The 20,246-nt window shown below is 41.6% G+C and overlaps 2 protein-coding genes across 7 annotated transcripts in view, besides 6 other annotated features; one reads left to right on the forward strand and one right to left on the reverse strand.

Moving 5' to 3' along the window:
- Positions 1–663, reverse strand: part of DNAAF10 (dynein axonemal assembly factor 10) — a 27,723-nt gene extending 27,060 nt beyond the window's left edge. For 2 of the 3 annotated variants that reach the window (NM_138458.4, NM_001256476.2), the window contains exon 1: positions 397–663. In NM_138458.4, coding sequence (NP_612467.1) covers positions 397–579 — 183 coding nt within the window. In that variant the 5' untranslated portion in view covers positions 580–663. The remainder of the gene's footprint in view (positions 1–396) is intronic. The other variant, NR_046234.2, reaches the window with a different exon arrangement.
- Positions 1–838: part of an enhancer, noted in NCBI's record as "H3K27ac hESC enhancer chr2:68383902-68384834 (GRCh37/hg19 assembly coordinates)", that runs on past the window's edge. NCBI's record gives its function as "activates a minimal SCP1, AML or CMV promoter by ChIP-STARR-seq in primed H9 embryonic stem cells {active_cell/tissue: H9 hESC(primed)}" and the evidence as "EXISTENCE:reporter gene assay evidence [ECO:0000049][PMID:30033119]".
- Positions 1–955: part of a biological region, named in NCBI's record as "H3K27ac hESC enhancer GRCh37_chr2:68383902-68384834", that runs on past the window's edge.
- Positions 296–435: an enhancer, noted in NCBI's record as "active region_15945". NCBI's record gives its function as "activates an Ori minimal core promoter by ATAC-STARR-seq in GM12878 lymphoblastoid cells {active_cell/tissue: GM12878}" and the evidence as "EXISTENCE:reporter gene assay evidence [ECO:0000049][PMID:35858748]".
- Positions 716–955: an enhancer, noted in NCBI's record as "active region_15946". NCBI's record gives its function as "activates an Ori minimal core promoter by ATAC-STARR-seq in GM12878 lymphoblastoid cells {active_cell/tissue: GM12878}" and the evidence as "EXISTENCE:reporter gene assay evidence [ECO:0000049][PMID:35858748]".
- On the forward strand, positions 1,024–19,374 carry PNO1 (partner of NOB1 homolog). Of its 4 annotated transcripts, none has more exons than NR_138146.2 (7): positions 1,024–1,277; positions 1,516–1,665; positions 4,819–4,902; positions 5,401–5,461; positions 5,713–5,799; positions 16,483–16,553; positions 17,871–19,374. NR_138146.2 is itself a non-coding variant. In NM_020143.4 (7 exons), the coding sequence occupies exons 1-7, from the start codon at positions 1,071–1,073 to the stop codon at positions 17,936–17,938; spliced, it is 759 nt and encodes a 252-aa protein (NP_064528.1). In that variant the 5' UTR covers positions 1,024–1,070; the 3' UTR covers positions 17,939–19,374. The 4 variants fall into 4 exon arrangements, 3 of the variants coding, with proteins under 3 accessions (NP_064528.1, NP_001316845.1, NP_001316846.1); NM_020143.4 differs by having other exon boundaries at positions 5,682–5,799; NM_001329916.2 differs by lacking the exon at positions 16,483–16,553 and having other exon boundaries at positions 5,682–5,799.
- Positions 1,236–1,335: an enhancer, noted in NCBI's record as "active region_15947". NCBI's record gives its function as "activates an Ori minimal core promoter by ATAC-STARR-seq in GM12878 lymphoblastoid cells {active_cell/tissue: GM12878}" and the evidence as "EXISTENCE:reporter gene assay evidence [ECO:0000049][PMID:35858748]".
- Positions 18,754–18,923: an enhancer, noted in NCBI's record as "experimental_59016 CRE fragment used in MPRA reporter constructs". NCBI's record gives its function as "activates a minimal promoter by MPRAs in K562 erythroleukemia cells, with activity observed for both the introgressed and non-introgressed 2:68402835 variant alleles {active_cell/tissue: K562}" and the evidence as "EXISTENCE:reporter gene assay evidence [ECO:0000049][PMID:34662402]".
- Positions 19,375–20,246: the final 872 nt, after the last annotated feature.

Here is a 20,246-nt window from a genome sequence, read left to right on the forward strand (position 1 = left end):
TGATTATTGAACTGAGTATCTCTCCCACTAGAAAATAAACTCCATGAGATGGGGGACATTACCATTCACATCCCTGGGAATACCAGGCACTCAGCTGATGCCTGTCGAATGTGTTAGGTTGCCTCTTCCAACCACACTGCAGGCATCCTGGTGCCCGCTTTGGCTGGACTGCACTGGGGGTGGCAGGACGGTTGGGCGCGGAGGAACTACCCCGCGGATGAGAAGAAAGGTTTTAAATAGGAAACATTCCTCAGTCGGCGGTCAGCTTCTCTGGTCTCGCGCGGCTCAAGCCATGCTTTGGGGGACGCTGGGCGAAGGCTCTGGCAAAGAGGAATGCAGACCCCAGGATCCGCACTCGCCCCCAACGGCAGTCCGGATCCTCGACCCGGCACCCACCTCCCGAAGCAGCTTCAGGTCCCCGTGCTGGATCTCGTACAGCTGAATGACGCCGGTGCCCCGTGCGAAGTTGCCCATGGTCACAAATTTGGCGCTGCAGGGCACCCACTTACAGTCAAACACCGTGTAGTTGAAGCCCTTCTGGATATGGGCGATGATCTGAGGCTTCTCGAAGGCCGACATGGTGCAGCCAATTTCAGCTACGGCAACCGCCACACCCAGAGCCCCCAAAAACGGCAACCTGGAAACCAGACTCCAAACATTGGCAATTTGTCCCTCCCGCTTTCCGTATTCTGCCCCAGATGCCCTGGCATGTTGGCTGTAGTTATCCCCGGATAATGCCAGATGCGCTCCTGCGATCGCACAGAATGTTCCTTCACAACAGCACGAATTTGTTTATCGCCTTTACCCACTGCCTTTCGCACACATACATACTAGAGATTACAAAATACTTGGGCTGGGAGTTGCGCGGCTGGAGTGAGCCCAAGACCATCAGGCATATCTTAGGACAGCCTAACCCCGTTTTCCCCCCCACCGGCCCCAAATCCTGCAGGTCCCCGGCCTGTGACGTTTTAGGAAAGGGGCGGAGCTGCAGGGGTGGTTGGCTGAGGCTGGCTTCTGCGTGGTGCAGCTGCGCACGTGTTTCAGCCGGCAGCGCTTTAAGATTTCCGGGGATGGAATCCGAAATGGAAACGCAGAGCGCCAGGGCAGAGGAGGGCTTTACCCAGGTCACCCGCAAGGGTGGCCGACGGGCGAAGAAACGACAGGCTGAACAGCTGTCCGCAGCAGGAGAGGGCGGGGATGCGGGCCGCATGGACACAGAGGAGGCCAGGCCGGCGAAGAGGCCCGTCTTCCCACCCCTCTGTGGGGACGGGCTCCTGGTATGTGGCTGGGACCCTAGGACAGCAACGAGGCAAGGGCCAGACGCGGATCAAGCCGATGGCCTCTGGAGAATGTTGAAGCTGCGGTGGGGCTGTTCTGCCGTGATGCTCAGAGAGAAGTGATTCTTTGAAGTGTAACTAGTTCAGTTAAAGGAGGCCCTTTGTGGATCAGATGTCATTTTAAACTCCATCACCGTCCCTCCATAGCCTTCTGAGTTGTGTGTTCTTTTATTTACAGAGTGGGAAAGAAGAAACAAGGAAAATTCCAGTCCCAGCTAACAGATACACACCATTGAAAGAAAACTGGATGAAGATATTTACTCCTATTGTGGAACATTTGGGACTTCAGATACGCTTTAACTTGAAATCAAGGAATGTAGAAATCAGGGTAAGGAAAATCTCAATCATTTCCCAATACACCAGGCTTTCTCTCCTACAGAGATGAAAAGGCATGAATAGGCTTTACTTAATGGGACTTTTCTGTTGTATGGTTTTTGTCCAGTTTAAAAATTTACCATATTGAGTTTGAACTTCCCAAATGCCTTAAAAATCTGCATTCGATACAAATATTAATTGAATTTGTAAATTAGTTCTGAGATCACACCAAAATACTGGCTCTTCTTCTGTGTATCTTTTATAATGTTCTATGTCAAATTGAGAAAAGGTCGAGTAAAGAGATTGCCATAAACAGAAGCAGGTAAATAATGAATATAAGCACTTGCTGCTTTACAAGAAGTATATACAGTCAGCGTCGGGAATATGTTCTGGGATATGTTTTGTCAGATGACTTAGTCCTTGTGCGAATATTATAGAGTGTACTTACACAAACCTAGATGGTATGTGTATATTTGTTTATATATTTTTTTCATATGGAAAACCAAATGTCCCAGCACCATTACTGAATATCAGTCATTTCATCTACTTGATCTGCATTGCCGGTATCCAGTGCCATATATCAGGTTTCTGTATATTCTCCATTATACTGTTATGAGACCACCATGGTATGAGCGGTTGGTCACTGATCAAAATGTCATTATGCAGTGCATGACTGTGTTTTAATGGTGCTCTTTTGATTAAAAAATGTATTATTTTGATAAGAAACATGCATATATATGTGTGTGTGTGTGTGTGTGTGTGTATATATATCTTTTTATTTTGCTCTTTCACCCAGGCTGGAGTGAGTGGCATGATCTTGGCTCACTGTTAACAGGTGCCTGCCACCAAACCTGGCTAATTTTTGTATTTTTAGTAGAGACTGGGTTTTAGCATGTTGGCCAGGCTAGTCTCGAACTCCTGACCTCAGGTGATCACATCTCGGCCTCCCAAAGTGCTGGGATTACAGGCGTGAGCTGCCCCACCGAGCCTATGTATATATTTTAAATTCTGTGCTATCAATCCGGGAATTAGACATTTAAATTTACTTTGGGCTTTCTTTTCTGGGTGCCAATTTCATACCAGAATCGATAACCGAAATTAATTATATTTTCCTTTTTAAGGATTCTTTTACCATCATCCGGACTGGTATAGTCTCATCTCTGTTAATGGAATATAATAATGGAACAAAGAAAGGCACTATTCTAAATAGTTGATAAAGTGTAAAATATCATAGAACATGATAGAGTAACTCCTCTTTGTCCCTGTTGCCATTCTCTCATTCAGGCTTTTATGGTTTCCTGCCAAGGAGTGGTTTCGTTGTAGGTTTCCCTTGCTTCATTGTTTGACGTCTCTCCTTTCTCCACTCATCCATCTGCCAGTGCCAGATTAAGTTTCCCAGATCACAATGCTTTTATGACATCCTGGCATCTTCAAAAAACAAAAAAAAATTTTTTTTTTTTTTTTTTTTTTGAGATAGAGTCTTGCTCCGTTGCCCAGGCTGGAGTGCAGTGTCGCAATCTCGGCTCACTGCAAGCTCCGCCTCCTGGATTCATGCCATTCTCCTGCCTCAGCCTCCTGAGTAGCTGGGACTACAGGCACCCACCACCACGCCCGGCTAATTTTTTGTATTTTTTAGTAGAGACAGGGTTTCACCGTGTTAGCCAGGATGGTCTTGATCTCCTGACCTCATGATCTACCCGCCTCTGCCTCCCAAAGTGCTGGGATTACAGGCGTGAGCATCTTCAACATTTCTAAAGGAAAAAGTTTTGGACTTAACTTGCTTTTCAAGTAGGAGACTCAGTCACAAGTTTGTCTCTCACGGATCATAAAGTTTGTTTATGTCCATACTTTTTGGTGGCTTTGGCCTTTGAAAGAGGTCCGCTCCTCCCTACTCCTTTCTCTTTATACTTCAGTTCCAGTATCTTTCCGGGTCTAGCTCAAGTTCTTTCTCTGTTATGGTATGTCCATTTTTCAGTCATATCTTCAGTGCCTAAACTTTTCATGTGCTTTATTGTCCTATTTATTGCAGGATAATCACTTTGGATTCCACTAACATTTGTTGATGCTGCCATATACCAGACACACAGTGGTATTACACCATGCTCTACATCATTTAGTCTTCAGGATATTCCCATCTTAAAGATGTGAGGAAACTTGGCCACAGTCATCAGTCTAATAAGGGAAATTTTCTATTATACTAGTAGGGAACACTCAGGATCTTCTACTCTGACCTCCTCATTTTACTGATGAGAAAACTCAAGACCTAAAGTATCTATGGGACTTGTCTAAGGTCACATATAGGATTGGAACTAGGGTCTAGTTTTAAATGGGAAAGCTCTGGGGACTCTCCCATTGCACAAGCCCATATGGTTTTACATTTGTTGAATACGTGGTCTCTTCAACTAGACTGTGAATGTGCATGGGACAGTGGAAATAACAGTTTTGAAATCAGACCTGTGTTTAAATCTTACCTTTTTTGCTTTTTAGTACTTTAGTTTCCTCACATACGAAGGTAGTCATATCACTTAACATTCAAAGTTGTTGTGAAGGTTAGAGTTATGGTGTGTAAAGCATGTTATTTATAGTACGTGTTATTTACAGTGGTAGGCTTTTTATGAATAACAGTTATTTCTGCATTTCTCAAATAAACTTTGAGGACAGGTTCAGTGCTTCATTCATTCTTTATTTCCCCAATCAGTGCATGCAGGTAGTTAGGCCTGGAGCTGTTGGTTTAAGAAACATCAGCATATAAATGATAACTAAGAAGATTAAGTCAGGAATCCCAGGGAAGACTGCCTTGAGAGAGAAGAGAAGAGGACATTGGGCATTGAAGGGATGGACAGAAGGTAGAGGTTCTTCAGAATGGGAGAGATTGGGTTGTGCCAGAGGAGTCTTGCTGTTAACCCCAAAATCTGATCATATAGTGCGGTTAGTTATTTGACACTCTTTGGGTGGAACAGCCAAGCTTTGGAGCTGGGAACGTTTTGTTTTGCAAATAAAGTACAGCACTTATCTGACCAGAACCTGTGTCATACAGAATATATTAGGGAAAGGTGGTGGTGAAGGAAATTCTCCAATAATGGGAAAGGACATTTCCAGTATTTTGTTAGGACATTTTCTGTTTGATTCTCAACGGTATTTTGTACCCTTTTTTGTTTTTTAACAGACTTGTAAAGAAACCAAGGATGTTAGTGCTCTGACAAAAGCAGCTGATTTTGTGAAAGCTTTTATTCTCGGCTTTCAGGTGGAGGTGAGTAATTCCATGATATCTAAAATGGGGACTTTAAAAATATTCAATGTGAACATTTCAATGGATTAGGCATTAAAAAAAAAAAAGGCCAGGCACAGTGGCTCACACCTGTAATCTCAGCACTCTGGGAGGCTGAGGCAGGTGGATCACTTGAGGCCAGGAGTTCAAAATAATCCTGGCCAACATGGCGATACTCTCCATCTCTACTAAAAATACAAAAAAATTAGCTGGGTGTGGTAGTGCATGCCTGCAGTCCCAGCTACTTGGGAGGCTGAGGTGGGAGAATCACTTGAACCAGGGAAGCAGAGATTGCAGTGAGCCAAGATCACGCCACTGCACTCCAGCCTGGGCGACAGCGTAAGACTCTGTCTCCAAGGGAAAAAAAAAAGCTTTCTAGCTCTAGAGTTTGTGGATTTTAGTTCCATAGTGCTTTGCACTTTACTCTTTTTCAGGTGTGCAAATGGAAGGGGCTTCACGGTGTTTGTTTTTATATTATAGGATGCACTTGCCCTCATCAGGTTGGATGACCTCTTCCTAGAGTCTTTTGAAATTACAGATGGTGAGTGTGTGTTGGTCTGCGCTCTTGTGTCGCTGACTTTGTATTGTGATGTGACTCTCAGTTTTCTAATAGCATCAATTGAGCTGTATTTTTAGCAACTTATATATATATATATACACTTTGTGTCCTTTAGAGAAATTTAGTTTATGATTAAACTTTATGTGGAATGGGTGGTACACTAGAATGGCTTGCCTCCTGAGATCTTGCTTTTCTTGTTTAGTTAAACCCCTAAAGGGAGACCATCTATCCAGGGCAATAGGAAGAATCGCTGGCAAAGGAGGAAAAACCAAATTCACCATAGAGAATGTGACACGGACAAGGATAGTTTTGGCTGATGTGTAAGTATCTGATCTTGAGAAAATTATTGTCATAATTTATATTTGATCTTTTGTTTTAAGAAAGTCATAACAGTTGTATTTTATGCATAATGTTGCTGCTAAATCTTTGTCAGTGCAGATGCTCCTCATAAATCCATCATAAATTGAAAATATCATAAGTCTAAAATGCATTTAATATGCCTGACTTATGGAACATTATAGCTTAGCATAGCCTATCATAAACATGGTCAGAACACACATTAGCCTGCAGTTGGGCAAAGTCATCCGACACAAATTCTACTTTATGACAGAGTGTTGAATATTGAATACTGTACTAAAAATGAAAAACAGAATGGTTGTATGTGTATTTGAAGTAGAGCATTCTGAATGTGTATCACCTTTGCACCCTTGTAAAGTTGAAAAATCCCAGTTCGAACCGTGTTAAGTTGGGAATCATCTGTATACTTTTGGGTGAATAGATGGTCACCAACTTTGAAAGAGGCTTAAGTTGAGAAAATTTAAGAAATTATATATTCTTTTCTCATTTAACAATGAGGAAATGCTATTAAAAGAAATTATTACAGGTGAAGATTTAAATAATATCTCGGGTTGGGCACAGTGGCTCACGCCTGCAATCCCAGCACTTTGGGAGGCTGAGGCGGGCGGATCACCTAAGGTCAGGAGTTCGAGACCAGTCTGGCCAACATGGTGAAACCCTCTCTCTACTAAAAATACAAAAATTAGCCGGGCATGTGGCATACGCCTTTAGTCCCACCTACTCGGGAGGCTGAGGCAGGAGAATCACTTGAACCTAGGAGGAGGAGGTTGCAGTGAGCCGAGATCATGCCACTGCACTCCAGCCTGGGCGACAGAGTGAGACTCTGTCTCAAATAAATAAATACATACATACATACATACATACATACATACATACATACATACTTACTCAAGGGAATCTATTAAATCACTAGGGGAGAACAAGCAATCACTATTTCAGATGCCCTTGTGAGTCTTTAGAAGTATATATCTACTTTATGTATATACATATATATGTTAAGGCCTTTTATAAAAGGAGGGGAATATCGTACATTAGGCAAAACTAGAGAGCAGTTATATGTGAACATAAACAAGATGAGAGGGGCTTAAAATAAAGGTGCCAGAAGTGAAGCTGGGATTACCCCTGTCTGAGGTTGAAGCTGCCCAGGCTGGGGATCTTACTGGCAGATGGCTCAGAGATTATATAATGCCATGAAGTTGGGAAACTGAACAGTTGACTGAGAGGAGGAGGGTTCTGCCTATGACTAAATTCTGAAATAATTTCATTTAATATCTCAATTTTGCTCCATACTGAAGGACTCTTCATTATATAGAACCTAAATTTTGTACATTCTTTACACTTTAAGGATAACTATACTACTGTGTTGGTGGCCCTCTTTACCTGAAGCCAGGCATATAATTATATTGTTTGATCTTTTATGGATTGAGCCTAGAGTCAGAAATATGGAGCCTTGGGAGAAGCTATTTTGAACTGGAAATGTGCAAATGCACACCACATTTAAAAATATGGCCAAGCATGGTGGCTCACATCTGTAATCCCAGCACTTTGGAAGGCTGAGGCAGGTGGATGGCGTGATCTCAGGAGTCTGAGACTAGCCTGGGCAACATAGTGAAACCCCTTCTCTACAAAAAAATACAAAAATTAGCCGGGTGTGGCGGCCCACACCTGTAGTCCCAGCTACTTGGGAGGCCGAAGTGGGAGGATCACCTGAGCCCAGAAGGTTGAAGCTGCAGGGAACCACGATCGTGCCACTGTACTCAACCCTGGGCGACAGAGTGAGACTCTAACAAAATAAAAATAAAAATACCACATATAGTCTGGGCGCAGTGGATCATGCCCATAATCCCAGCACTTTGGGAGGCCAAGGTGGGAGGAAGGAATGCTTGAGCCCTGAAGTTCAAGACCAGCCTGGGCAACATAGGGATCTCCATCTCTACAAAAAATATAAAAATTAGGTGTGATTGTGCACACCTGTAGCCCTAGCTGCTCAGGAGGCTCAGGTGGGAGGATTGCTTGAACCAAGGATGTCAAGACCACAGTGAACCATGATGGCACCACTGCACTCTAGCCTGGGTGACAGAGTGAAACCTTGTATCCAAAAAATAAAAAATTAATTAATTTAAAATCCATATACAGATGCTCCTCACCGTATGGTGGGGTTACGTCCAGATAAACCTGTTGTAAATTAATGATCTCATAAGTCAGAAGTTCATTTGATACTTCATTTGATATCATAGGATACTTCTCTTTGAAAACTGAAGAGCATTCCGAGTGTGTACCACTTTGGCGCAATTATAAAGTCAAAAAAAAATCTTCGGTTAAATCATCAAGTCATGGACTGGCTGAGTAGCCCTGAAAGCTTTCATGAATTTAGAAATCCATGGCCCGGCACGGTGGCTCACACCTGTAATCCCAGCACTTTGGGAGGCCGAGGCGGGCGGATCACGAGGTCAGGAGATCGAGACCATCCCGGCTAAAACGGTGAAACCCTGTCTCTACTAAAAATACAAAAAATTAGCCGGGCGTAGTGGCGGGCGCCTGTAGTCCCAGCTACTTGGGAGGCTGAGGCAGGAGAATGGCGTGAACCCGGGAGGCGGAGCTTGCAGTGAGCCGAGATCCCGCCACTGCACTCCAGCCTGGGCGACAGAGCGAGACTCCGTCTCAAAAAAAAAAAAAAAACAACAAAAAAAAAAAAACTAGCTGGGTGTGGTGGCACATGCCTGTTATCCCAGTTACTTGGGAGACTGAGGCAGGAGAATTGCTTGAACCTGGGAGGCGGAGACTGCAGTGAGTCAAGATTGCACCACTGCATTCCAGCCTGGGCGACAGAGTGAGACTCCATCTCAAAAAAAAAAAAAAAAAAAACGGCTGGGCATGGTGCCTCACACCTGTAATTTCAGCACTTTGGGAGGCTAAGGCGGGTGGATCACCTGAGGTTAGGAATTCGAAACCAGCCTGGGCGACAGTGAGACTCTGTCTCAAAAAAAAAAAGAATTTAGAAATCTAAAACTAACTGATTTGCCAATGAAATTATATAGTCTGTCATTAAGTTTATTACTGGTAAATTTATAAGTATATTTGTAAGTGTTAACCTAAAATTTACTAGTTAAACCAACGTTTTAGAAGTTTATTGTGGCATAATTTACATACAATAAAATTCTATTGTTTTAAGTATCCCGTTCAATGAGTTTTTGGCAAATGTATATTGTAGTCCCATGACACTCATACAGTTCTCTTACCCTGAAAGTTCCCTCGTGCATCTTTATGGTCAGTTGCCTGCCCCCACCCTTTTCTGGGACAACCATTGCTCTTGTTTCTGTCACTCTTATTTTGCATTTTCTAGAAATTCATATAAATGGAAATACACAGTATGTAGGCTTTGGTGTATGACTTCTCTTAATTAGCATGTTATTTTGGATTTCTCCATTTTGTTGGGTGTATCAGTAGTTCCTTTTTATTGGCAAGTACTATTTCATTGCACAGGTATACTGTTGACCCTTGAATATTGCAGGGATTAGGGATGCTGAACCCCTAACATGGTTGAAAATCCATGTATGTATGACTTGACTCTCCCAAAACTTAACTACTCCTGCTTTTGGCTGGAAGCTATACCAATAACAAACAGTTGATAAACACATATTTTGTATGTTATATGTATTATATACTGTACTCTTTCATAAAGTAAGCTAGAGAAAAAATGTTATTAAGAAAATTATAAGGAAGAGAAAATCTATCTACTCTTCATTAAGTGGAAGTGGGTTATCATAAAGGTCTTCATGGTGAATAAGCTAAGGAAGACGAGGAAGAGGGGTTAATCTTGCTGTCTCATGGGTGGCAGAGGAGGAAGATGTGGAAGGCGAGGCAGGAGAGGCAAGCATACTCTGGAACTTTACAGAAATACATTGTAATTTCTGACTTTTTTGCCCTTTCACTTCTCTAAAAATGTTTCTGTAGGGTACCAATCCTCTTCCACAGTTTTTAGTTTCAGTGCCCACGTCATAAAAGGGTCTATGTCATAAAAGACGTCAAAAGCATCTTGAATAATCAGAAACCTTCTGCCAAATTGTCTAATGTCACCTTGTTTTCTGACACTGCTGCTTCTACATCATCTTCCTCATCACCCGGCACTGCTTCAGAAGCACTCACCTCCATCAAGTCGTCTTCTGTTAATTCCTCTGGCATAGTGTCTGTTAGCTCTTGATTTCTCCGTGATCCATATCTTGAAACCCTTCACCCCTCACTTTTGGCCATATCCACAGTCTCTTTCATGATTTCTTGTTTGGCTCTGTCGTAAATCCTGTACTGTCATGCAAAACCTCTGGACATGGTTTTCTCCAGCAGGAATTTATAGCTGCAGGCATGAGGCTTTCACAGCTTTTTCCATAATAATGACAGTGTCTTCAATGGCATGGTCCTTCCAGACTTTTATGATGTTCTTTCCATCGAGTTCTCTTCCATAGCATTGACACTATTTTCCATAGAGTAGTGTGTGTAATGAACCTTAAAGGTCTTTATGACTACCTGTTCTGGAGGCTGAATTAGAGAGTGGGTGCAAGGAGACCACTTTGTTGCCTTTCGGTATTGAACTCATGGGGTTCTTGGGTGGCTGGGACATTGCTCAACATCAAAAGAGCTTTAAAAGGCATTCCTTACTGGCAAGATACTTCCTGACTTCAGGGAAAAAGCATCAATGGAATCAATCCAGAAAAAGAGCTCTCCTTGTGCAAGCCTTCTTGTACATCCAGAAGACAGGCCACTGGTGTTTACCTTTTCCCTTCAAGGATCGGGGTTAGCAGCTTTATAGATAACGGCAGTCCTGATCATAAACCTGACTGCATTTGCACAAAACAGTAAAGATAGCCTATCCTTTCCTGCATTAAATCCTGGTGTTTGCTTCTCTTCTTTACTAATAATTGCCCTTTGTGACATTTTTTTCCAGAACAGGACGTTTTTCATCTGCACAAAAAACCTGTTCAGGCAGATATTATTTCTCCTCAGTGATTTTCTTAATGGCATCTGGGAACTTGTCTGCTGCCCTTTGGTGAGCAGAAGCTGCTTCTCCTGTTACCCTGACATTTTTAAAGCCACCTCTTTCTAACATTATCGAAGCATCCTTTGCTGGCGTTAAGTTCTCCAGCTTTAGATCCTTCATTTTCCTTTTGCTGTAAGTTGTCATATAATGACTTAATTTTTTTCTCCATCATATTAGACTCTATAGATGTGTCTTTCTTAGAACAATCCTGCACCCACATAAAAGCTGCATTTCCAATTTGAGATTGTCAAGAAAAGAATCACAAGATCTATAAATTTGGAGAGGAAACTTTATTTCTTAGAAAGGGTTGCAGTCTGCAGGGTGGCCATTCTGACAGGCTGGAAAGTATAGCCTTCAGCAGAGACCAAAAGCAGGCACTCTGAAGGAGGAAAGGATGAGACAGGAATTTATGCTGAATGCGTTGGCCAAGTATACTTATTTAACAGGTTATAGGAGGAGCTCTGAATATAAGAGGGGTCCTAATGCTTGTATACCGAGTAAATGTACAACCCCTGGTCGCTTTGGGGTGGAGACTTAACATTTAAAATACCTGACAATTAGATCCTGTATGTTACAAGATGAAATAGGGACAGGGACATGACAACTGAATGCACTGCCTCTGGAAGCTGGTAGTACCAGTCCATGGTCAGTGATCTCTTATCAGGAGATGTTACTGGGATCAGTCTCTTGTCCAATCAAAGCTGTAGTTACTGTTTGTGGAACAGAGTGTGGGAAGAGGGAAGCTGGGGTCAATCTGTATCTAGCTGTTGGTGAGCTGTAATTGTTTTAATATTGTTTATCACAAGGCCAGTGCTTGTTAAGCTGCTAGAGAAAAAAAAATATCCTGTGGCAATTAGAATGTCATTTACTCTTTAAGTGTAGGGTGTATGACTTAACCCTTGCCCAGGTGGTCTTAGGTCTTGTTTACAATTTGATATCTTATTGCCACAGTCTGTTCTGTCTTGCCTGGGCGCCTAGGGGCTTTATTTTTATTTTATAAGATAAAGGGGTATTTGGCAAAACTGCAGGTGTATTCATATCTGCTGTTATAGCTGCAGTGACAGCTTCATGAATTTCCTTTTCTTTTTTTTACAATGGTCCTATGGTATAGTCATTTATCTTGAAGTGGTGGGCAACTGCAACTGCAGGCCTCAGTCAACAGTACCTATCAAGCAATTCAGCTTTTTTCTTTTTTTTTTTTTTTTTTTTTTTTTGAGATGGAGTCTCCCTCTATCGCCAAGGCTGAAGTGCAGTGGTGCAATCTCGGCTCACTGCAACCTCCACCTCCCGGGTTCAATGGATTCTCCTGCCTCAGCCTCCTGAGTAGCTGCAACTATAGGCATTTGCCACCATGCCCAGCTAATTTTTTTGTATTTTTAGTAGAGATGGGGTTTCACCGTGTTAGGCAGGATGGTCTCAATCTCGTGACCTCGCAGTCCACCCGCCTCGGGCTCCCAAAGTGCTGGGATTACAGGTGTGAGCCACTGCGCCTGGCCAGTTCAGCTTTTTCTTGTACTGTCATGACTTTTCTGTGCTGCTTTGGAGCACTCCCAACATCACTAGTGGCACTTTATGTGGGACCCACGTTGGGTGGGTCCTATGGTCCCAAAGCTTACAATATTGCACTAAGATTAAAAATAGGCAAGAACTGCGAGAAATCACTTTCTACTGTGATAGACAGTTTATTGGAGAGTCAAAACTGCTTATGGGAGATAATCAGCATCACATGTGATCAGCATCACATGGCATTCTAAGTGGATACTTGCAACACCTGAGCTCACCACAAGAGCAATAGGTGGTGGCTGTGAAGTTGTCGTACAGTATGCACTACAGTTAATTTTATGGAGTTATGATTTAATACTGCATCTTTGCATTTGTTTCCATTTCTCTTGACTACAAATGGCATCATATATGGCTTGTGTTTGTGTGCGTAAGTTTTAATTTTAACTTTTTATAATAGATTTGTGTATATTTTACGGTAGTAAATAAGATAGACTAGTACCTACATACAGTTTATGCATTCATGACGTAGCTTTTTCTTAATTTTTTTGACATTTCTACGATACTTAGCTCCTCTCTGGGTTTTTTCACATCTCCAAAATATCTTCCAGTATATGTGTTGAAAAAAATTTGTGTGTAACTGGACCTGTGCAGTTCAAACCTATTATTCAAAAGTCAGCTGTATTACATCTTGTTTATCCAGTCACAGTAGATGGACTTTTGGGTTGTTTTCAGTTTGTGGCTATGAGAATAATGTTGCTACTGAATTACTTATATCTTTTGTGTTTTCTTACAAACTGAATTACAGACTACTTGAAATTAAGAGATGTACTATCTCTTGCTTTTGCTGTAGACAGGCTAGTTGGAAATCCACGTTTAACAGTTTATATTAATTATAATAAAGCTGTTAGATGGGCTGTTGTGTACCTATAAAAGTTATTTTTGATGAGTTGCCAATAACCTGGCAAAATACAGTAAGTATAATGTGAGCCAGATAGAAAACTAAAAACAATTGGTTCCAGGTATGTTTAATACAGCAGATGGGAAATGATGTTGCCTCTGTGTCTTGAAGCCTCCATTCCTTTCCAACTATTGCCCCATTACTTTGGTTCTTTGTGCAGCAAAACTACTCCCATCTGTTCTTGTTGTCTTTATTTCCTCATCTGTCATGCTCTGTTTTAAATAATTTTAATCAAAGTTAAACATACACATAGTTTTAAAAAGCCAAATATTGGCCGGGCGTGATGGCTCACACCTGTAATCCCAGCACTTTGGGAGGCCGAGGCGGGCGGATCACAATGTCAGGAGATCGAGACCATCCTGGCTAACACGGTGAAACCCCGTCTCTACTAAAAATACAAAAAAATTAGTCGGGCGTGGTGGTGGGCACCTGTAGTCCCAGTTACTTGGGAGGCTGAGGCAGGAGAATGGCGAGAATCCGAGAGGCGGAGCTTGCAGTGAGCCGAGATTGCGCCACTGCACTCCAGCCTGGGGGACAGAGCAAGACTCCGTCTCAAAAAAAAAAAAAAAAAAAAAAGCCAAAAATTTCTACTGCCTACCTCCATTTCACCCTTTTCAGGGGAACCAATTTCAACTCTTTTAGCTTATCTTAAAAAATTATTTGTCTCTGTATTTCCAGATATTTTGTTCATATACAGCCTCTTATTTTTCAGATTCACTATTGACTTTCTACCATCAAAGATGAAGATTTAGCTGTCTTTCACCCCCTTACTTCCACTGCACACACTCAGCCTTTCTGTCACTCCGATTTATTCTTCTCTGTCCTCCTGATGGTCCCCTTGTGGTTTTTGTTAGATTCGTGTTCAGTATTACCTGAAAACAGAAATCAGTGCTCAGTGTACTTATAGCTGAGCCAGGTGAAATACTGTGACTGCCTTATCTTTCTTTTGCAGCATTGTTTTCACTTGAGGAAGTAACTCTTATGTGTCTATGTCCTTTCTTCATTTTCGTCGTACTAATTCAGTAAGAAGCTATACGTTGTCTGTATCTCCTCTTGATGTATTCGAATGCATCTAATATTTGAGAAATCTCTCCTGGAGATGTTCTGTTCCAAAAACGCCCCCATGCTTTCTGCGTGCATTCTGGCTGCACAGCCATCATCCTGGGTTCCCTGTCCCCTGCCTCTTGGAGTCTCTTTCCCAGAGTTCTGCTTCTTGATATTCCTGCTGCTGATTTAGGCATCAGTTGACTTCGGTCTGCACAGTCAGTTCCATCTCCTCCATCTGCTTTCCACCTTTTTGGACTTTGCTACTGTTATTACTCTCTTCTTCCTTTTGGGCTTACATCTTTCCTGTCATTTTAGTGGAGTTTGAGGAAGGAGCATTTGTAAATGTTTGTTTTGTTCATCTGCAGGTGTCTGGAGGAAGAGCATTACAGAGGAAGGGGAAAGCACAAAGATCTTGAGTTGAGGGCACATCTGGCAGTGAGCGAGGAGGCTTGACCAAGGATGAAAGGGAGAGAGCGGAGAGTGACAGATGAGTCAAAAATAATAGGGCCTCACTGAGGTCATCATAAGGACTTTGGCTTTTACTCGGAGTGAATAGGAAGTCATTGGATGATTGTGAGCAGAGGAAGGGAGGTGGGATGTGAGGGGGCGAAGGGCAGTGAAGGTGAGTAGGATCCATAGATGGGAGGTCCTGGGGTAGGGGTGAAGGATTATTTGTGTTGATATGAGTGGAATGACAGAAAGTGGTGAAGGGAGAGTTGGATGTTTGAAATCGAAATTATGGGGGGGTTGCAGTTTTTGGTAATGACCAAGTCCAGGGTGTGACCATGGATGGAAGAGGCTGGAGTAGGGTGGAAAACAAGACCCCATGTTGGCATAAAGGATATCAAGGACCTGAGAGGCTGGCATGTTGGGATTATCATCTTCATGGGTATTGACATGATCGAGCATGGTGATGGGGAATAGCAAGAGAAAGCAAGCCAAGAGCTAACATCTTCACAGGTGATCTGTAGGGGCAGCTGAGGACCGCAGCCAGGCAGGGTGGTGGGTGATGTGGCCTCAGAGCAGATCCAAAGCCAAAGGGTTTTTAGGGAGGCAAGAGGGAGAGCATGTGGTCTGGATGTGGCATGAAGACACCTGCTCCTCCCCCAGGCCCAGAGGTACCTGGTTTGTGGAGGAAGAACTGGCCACCATTTGAGATCTGGCCTTAGTTGAAGCCAGAAGGTGAAGGGAATATTAACAGGGGTTGAAGATATAGAAGCTTTAGCTGATTTGTACAGGGCACAGTGAAAACAGTTTGGAAGATGGACTCAAAAAGGCAAAATTGTATCTTGTCAGTTTTGTCATTCAGTAAAGAATGCCCATTAAAAGGGTCTAAATGATCCTCAGAGCCCTGAAGAAATTTAGATAATCTTTAGGAAACTTTGCAGTTGAAAACCAATTATGTTGAAATTGAGTACAGTATTGCATTTATGGGTATTCAGTAACCAGCTCTGCCAGTGTGTCGTCTTGGGCAGGCTTTTTGATTTCTTATAAACTTCTCTCCTCATCCGTAAAACAGGAAGGTCATGTGAGGATTAATGAGGGCATGCATAGAAAGCCCTGGCACATAAAGCACTCATAGGATGGGAGCCATCATTAACCAAGAATCTTCACAAATTTTTCTTTTTCAAACAATTCTTTGTCTTTTCTAATAATTTTTTATTGGGATACAATTCATATACCATAAAATTCACCCTTTTAAAAAGTGGTTTTTAGTATATTCATGGAGTTGTGCAGCCATAACCACTGCCCTCATTAAAGAATCTGACTCAAATATCATGATTTTCCAGCATTTTTGGAGTACAGGACTTAGGTAAGGAAATGCTTTTTTGTCTACAATGTCTTTTTTTTTTTTTTTTTTTTTTTTAAGAGAGAGGGTTTTGGTCTGTCACTCAGGTTGGCATGTTGCACTCTACAGGCACGTGCTACTACACCCAGCTAACTGTTGAATTTTTTTGTAGAGATGGCGTCTCATTATGCTGTCCAGGCTTGTCTCAGACTCCTGGCCACAAATGATCTACCTGCCTTGGCCTTCCAAAGTGCTGGGATTACAGGTGTGAGTCATTGCATCCCAGCCACTAATTTGTCTCATTTTATTTCTTTCAGGAAAGTTCACATCCTTGGCTCCTTCCAAAATATCAAGATGGCAAGAACTGCCATTTGCAACCTAATCTTGGGTAATAGCAGTTTCTTTCTTTGGTGTTTTCTCTGGGAGGGATAGGAAGTTAATTGAGGAAGTCAAAACCACATTTGCAAAGCAATTTAGGGTAATATTAAAGATCGCAAGTAGAAACCCTTGGGAGTTGGCAAAGGTGGGCCTAGAGAAGGAAGTAGAATTTTTTTTTTTTTTTTTTTTTTCTGAGCCAGAGTCTCGCTGTGTCGCCTAGGTTGGAGTGCAGTGGTGCGATCTCGGCTCACTGCAACCTCTGCCTCCCAAGTTCAAGCGATTCTCCTGCCTCAGACTCATGAGTAGCTGAGACTAAAGACGCCTGCCACCTTGCCTGGCTAATTTTTGCATTTTTAGTAGAGACGGGGTTTCACCATATCGGCCAGGCTGGTCTCGAACTCCTGACCTTGTGATCCGTCCACCTCAGCCTCCCAAAGTGCTGGGATTACAGGCGTGAGCCACCACGCCCAGCCAGAAGTAGAAATACTTTTGCTTAGATTCCATTTGTCTGCAAGAGAAGAGAAGGTGTTTATTGGGTAATATTGCTTAAATCTTTGCTGCCTTCTTGATAAGGTGCAGAGAAAAACCATTCCAGAATAGCAGGGAACATCACATTTTAGGTTTAACAAAGGAAGAGCTGCTGAACAGCTTCAGGCAATTTAATTGATCCACTTAACCCATTTTCTTGATCCTGCAGCAAAGTCAGTACTTTCTGATAAGAGTTGCAGGATCTTAGCGGCTTGCTCAGAAAATTGGGATTTTCTGGTTCTCAGGCCTCAGTGATTGGCTTCTTTTTGAAATATTTTAACAACTCAGTGCCTTTCGCTCTTAGAAGTTTAAAATATTTTTTGGAGAATATTTGGGTATTATTTCTGTTAAGGTTTTTTTTTTTTTTTTTTTTTTGTAATTTCCAATTAAAATGTCTCTGTTCTTTTTAGGGTTCTAGACCCTTTTTCACGTACAGTCTGCCCTCTGTCTGCAAGGTCCACATCTGCGGATCGAACCAATGGCAGATCAAATACTCAGAAAAAAAATATATAAAAATAATGGCAAATTAAAAATAATACAAATTTTAAAACACAATACAGTACTATTTACATAGCATTTGCATTGTATTAGGTATTATAAGTAATCTAGAGATGATTTAAAGTATATGGGAGGATGTGGGTAGTTAATGTGCATATTTTTTATGTAAGAGACTTGAGCATCCAAGGATTGTGGTGTCTGTGGGAGTCCTGAAACCAGTCTTCCTTAGACACTGAGGGACAACTGTAGGCGCTATAAATGTGAGTTTATTTGTGTATATACTTTTTTTTCCCCTTTGCAGGAAATCCTCCTTCCAAGGTTTATGGCAATATTCGAGCTGTGGCTAGCAGATCAGCAGATCGATTCTGATTTCAAGTCAGAGACTTTTTATCTTGCCTTTGGACTCTGGTGAAAAATACTTTACAGTGGTCGGTCACAAGAAACCAGCTGAACAATTTCAGTCATTTGAAGCCTCCGTCCCTTCTTCCATTCTCAGCCAGAAGCATAAACAGAAAAGAAAGATTTAAGAGGATTCACACTCAACAGGTTTTAGGATAATTTAAATATCAAAAATTGATTGTTATACTTAACACATTAGGTATAATTTATCATTTATCTGAAATCACATGTAGCAGATTGCATAGTCTGTAATCCTCTCAGAGGGAAACTTCTTGTTTAAACAGCTCTATATGGATTTATACTTTTATATTTATAAATTTATAACTTCATACAAATTTATAAACATTTCTTTATAAATTGTAATTTAATAGATTATCTCAGAAAAACCTCTCTGAATGATGACCCTTCCTTAATACTGGGTGATGTGTGAATATTTGTTTGTTGGCAGACAGGGTCTCACTTTGTCACCCAGGCTAGAGTGCAGTGGTGCAATCTCAGCTCACTGCAGCCTCTGCCTCCTGAGTTCAAGTGATCCTCCTGCTTCAGCCTCCCTAGTAGCTGGGACTACAGGTATGCACCACCATGCCTGGCTAATTTTTTGTATTTTTTGTAGAGATGGGGTTTCGCCATGTTGACCAGGCTGGTCTTGAACTCCTGGCCTCAAGGGATCCGTCCGCCTCAGCCTCCCAAAGTGCTGGGATTACAGGCATAAGCCACTGCGCCTGGCCTTGATGTGTGAATATTTGAGAGGTCATAAGCAGTGGTTTTGGCCATACCGTATTATACCATATACATCAGTAAGAGCTCATCTTGGAACCTGTTTTGCAGTTTCTTGCAGTTTCAAAAATTAAAGACCTACATCACAGGGTTAATGTGAAGAAAGCTTTATTTTTCAAATGAGTATTTAATGAAAGTATACATAACCAATGTTGGGTATACAGATGCTTCTCAACTTATGATGGGTTTAGGTCCAGATAAGCCCACTGTGAGTTGAAAATACCAAAAGTCAAACATCATAGCTTAGCCTACCTTAAAAGGGCTCCGAACACTACATTAGCCTACAGTTGGGCAAAATCGTCTAATACAAAGCCTATTTTATAATAAAGTATGTTGAATATCTCATGTAATTTTTGAAGATTACATTGAAAGTGAAAAACAGAATGGTTGGGTACTTGAAATACAGCTTCTACTGAATGAATAATTCTAAAGTTGAAAAATAATAGTAAGAACCATCATAAGTCTGTTTCTTCTAGTAAAGGTGAAATGATGAAAGAATGCTTTTTTCCCACCCAAAAAACTATGCTCTATAAATGCAGATTAGCTAGTTTCTGCCTGTTTAAATGGTATTATTTTATACATTACAAAATGGAAGGAACTTACTTTATTAAACTTAACTTTGATACTTCTCTTATGCATCTCTAAAACCCTTGATGAAAACATGTAAACTTCAGTAATGGCAGTATTAGAAAGTTCATGTAGGAACTAAAAGAAAAATTGTTAAGCTTGTTTCCTTTATATCATCAGTTACATATCCCACTGTTCTAAGCTAGTTTGTACAGTATGTGGGATCGGATATACTTAGATATTTTTAAAAATTTCATTCATTAATGCTTTTTTTGCAAAATACTCAACTGGGAATCCAACTGGAAATTGCTGAGTATGTCCCACCTCAAATTATTTTTTTATCCTTTGGCAACAGCAGCATGGAGCAAGGATATGTACAATGATATCAGATCCTTTTACTCATACCTTTTTGAAAAAGATTTGGGACTTTTTTATTCTGGAGTCTGTACAGGTTTTCAGAGGTACTTGCCTACCTTCATCCTTTCCCCAGGAAGTTAAATTCAAAATTGTGACTATTTCATTTACTTTCCTGGGGAATGGGCCCATGCCTGTAATCAGGTTTTCCAAGCACTTGGACTGAATTGAACCATTGCTAGGTGACCATAAATGTTTTGAATCGACTTTCAAGGAATGGAGGAGGCAGGAAGTTAAAAGCATCATTTCAACTGCGAAAATATGGGTTATCTGTATTAAAGGGAAATAACGTTTTGGTATTATCCAAATTACTTCCCCTTTTGAAGATTTCCTATGTAATTACAACTGTCAGTAATACAAGAGAGCAAATATATTTCCCTGGCAGCTGCTAAAATTTGGAATGCTGAACGTTGGTTTAAGGAGTTGCTTTCACCTCCTCCCCACCCCCGCCCGCCGCTTAGTTAAGCGTTTGTATCTCCTGTTCCCCAGTAGTAGTAGTAGTACTACTTGGGGCTTTTGA

Source organism: Homo sapiens, chromosome 2 (assembly GCF_000001405.40).
Source record: "Homo sapiens chromosome 2, GRCh38.p14 Primary Assembly".
Lineage (NCBI taxonomy): Eukaryota > Metazoa > Chordata > Mammalia > Primates > Hominidae > Homo > Homo sapiens.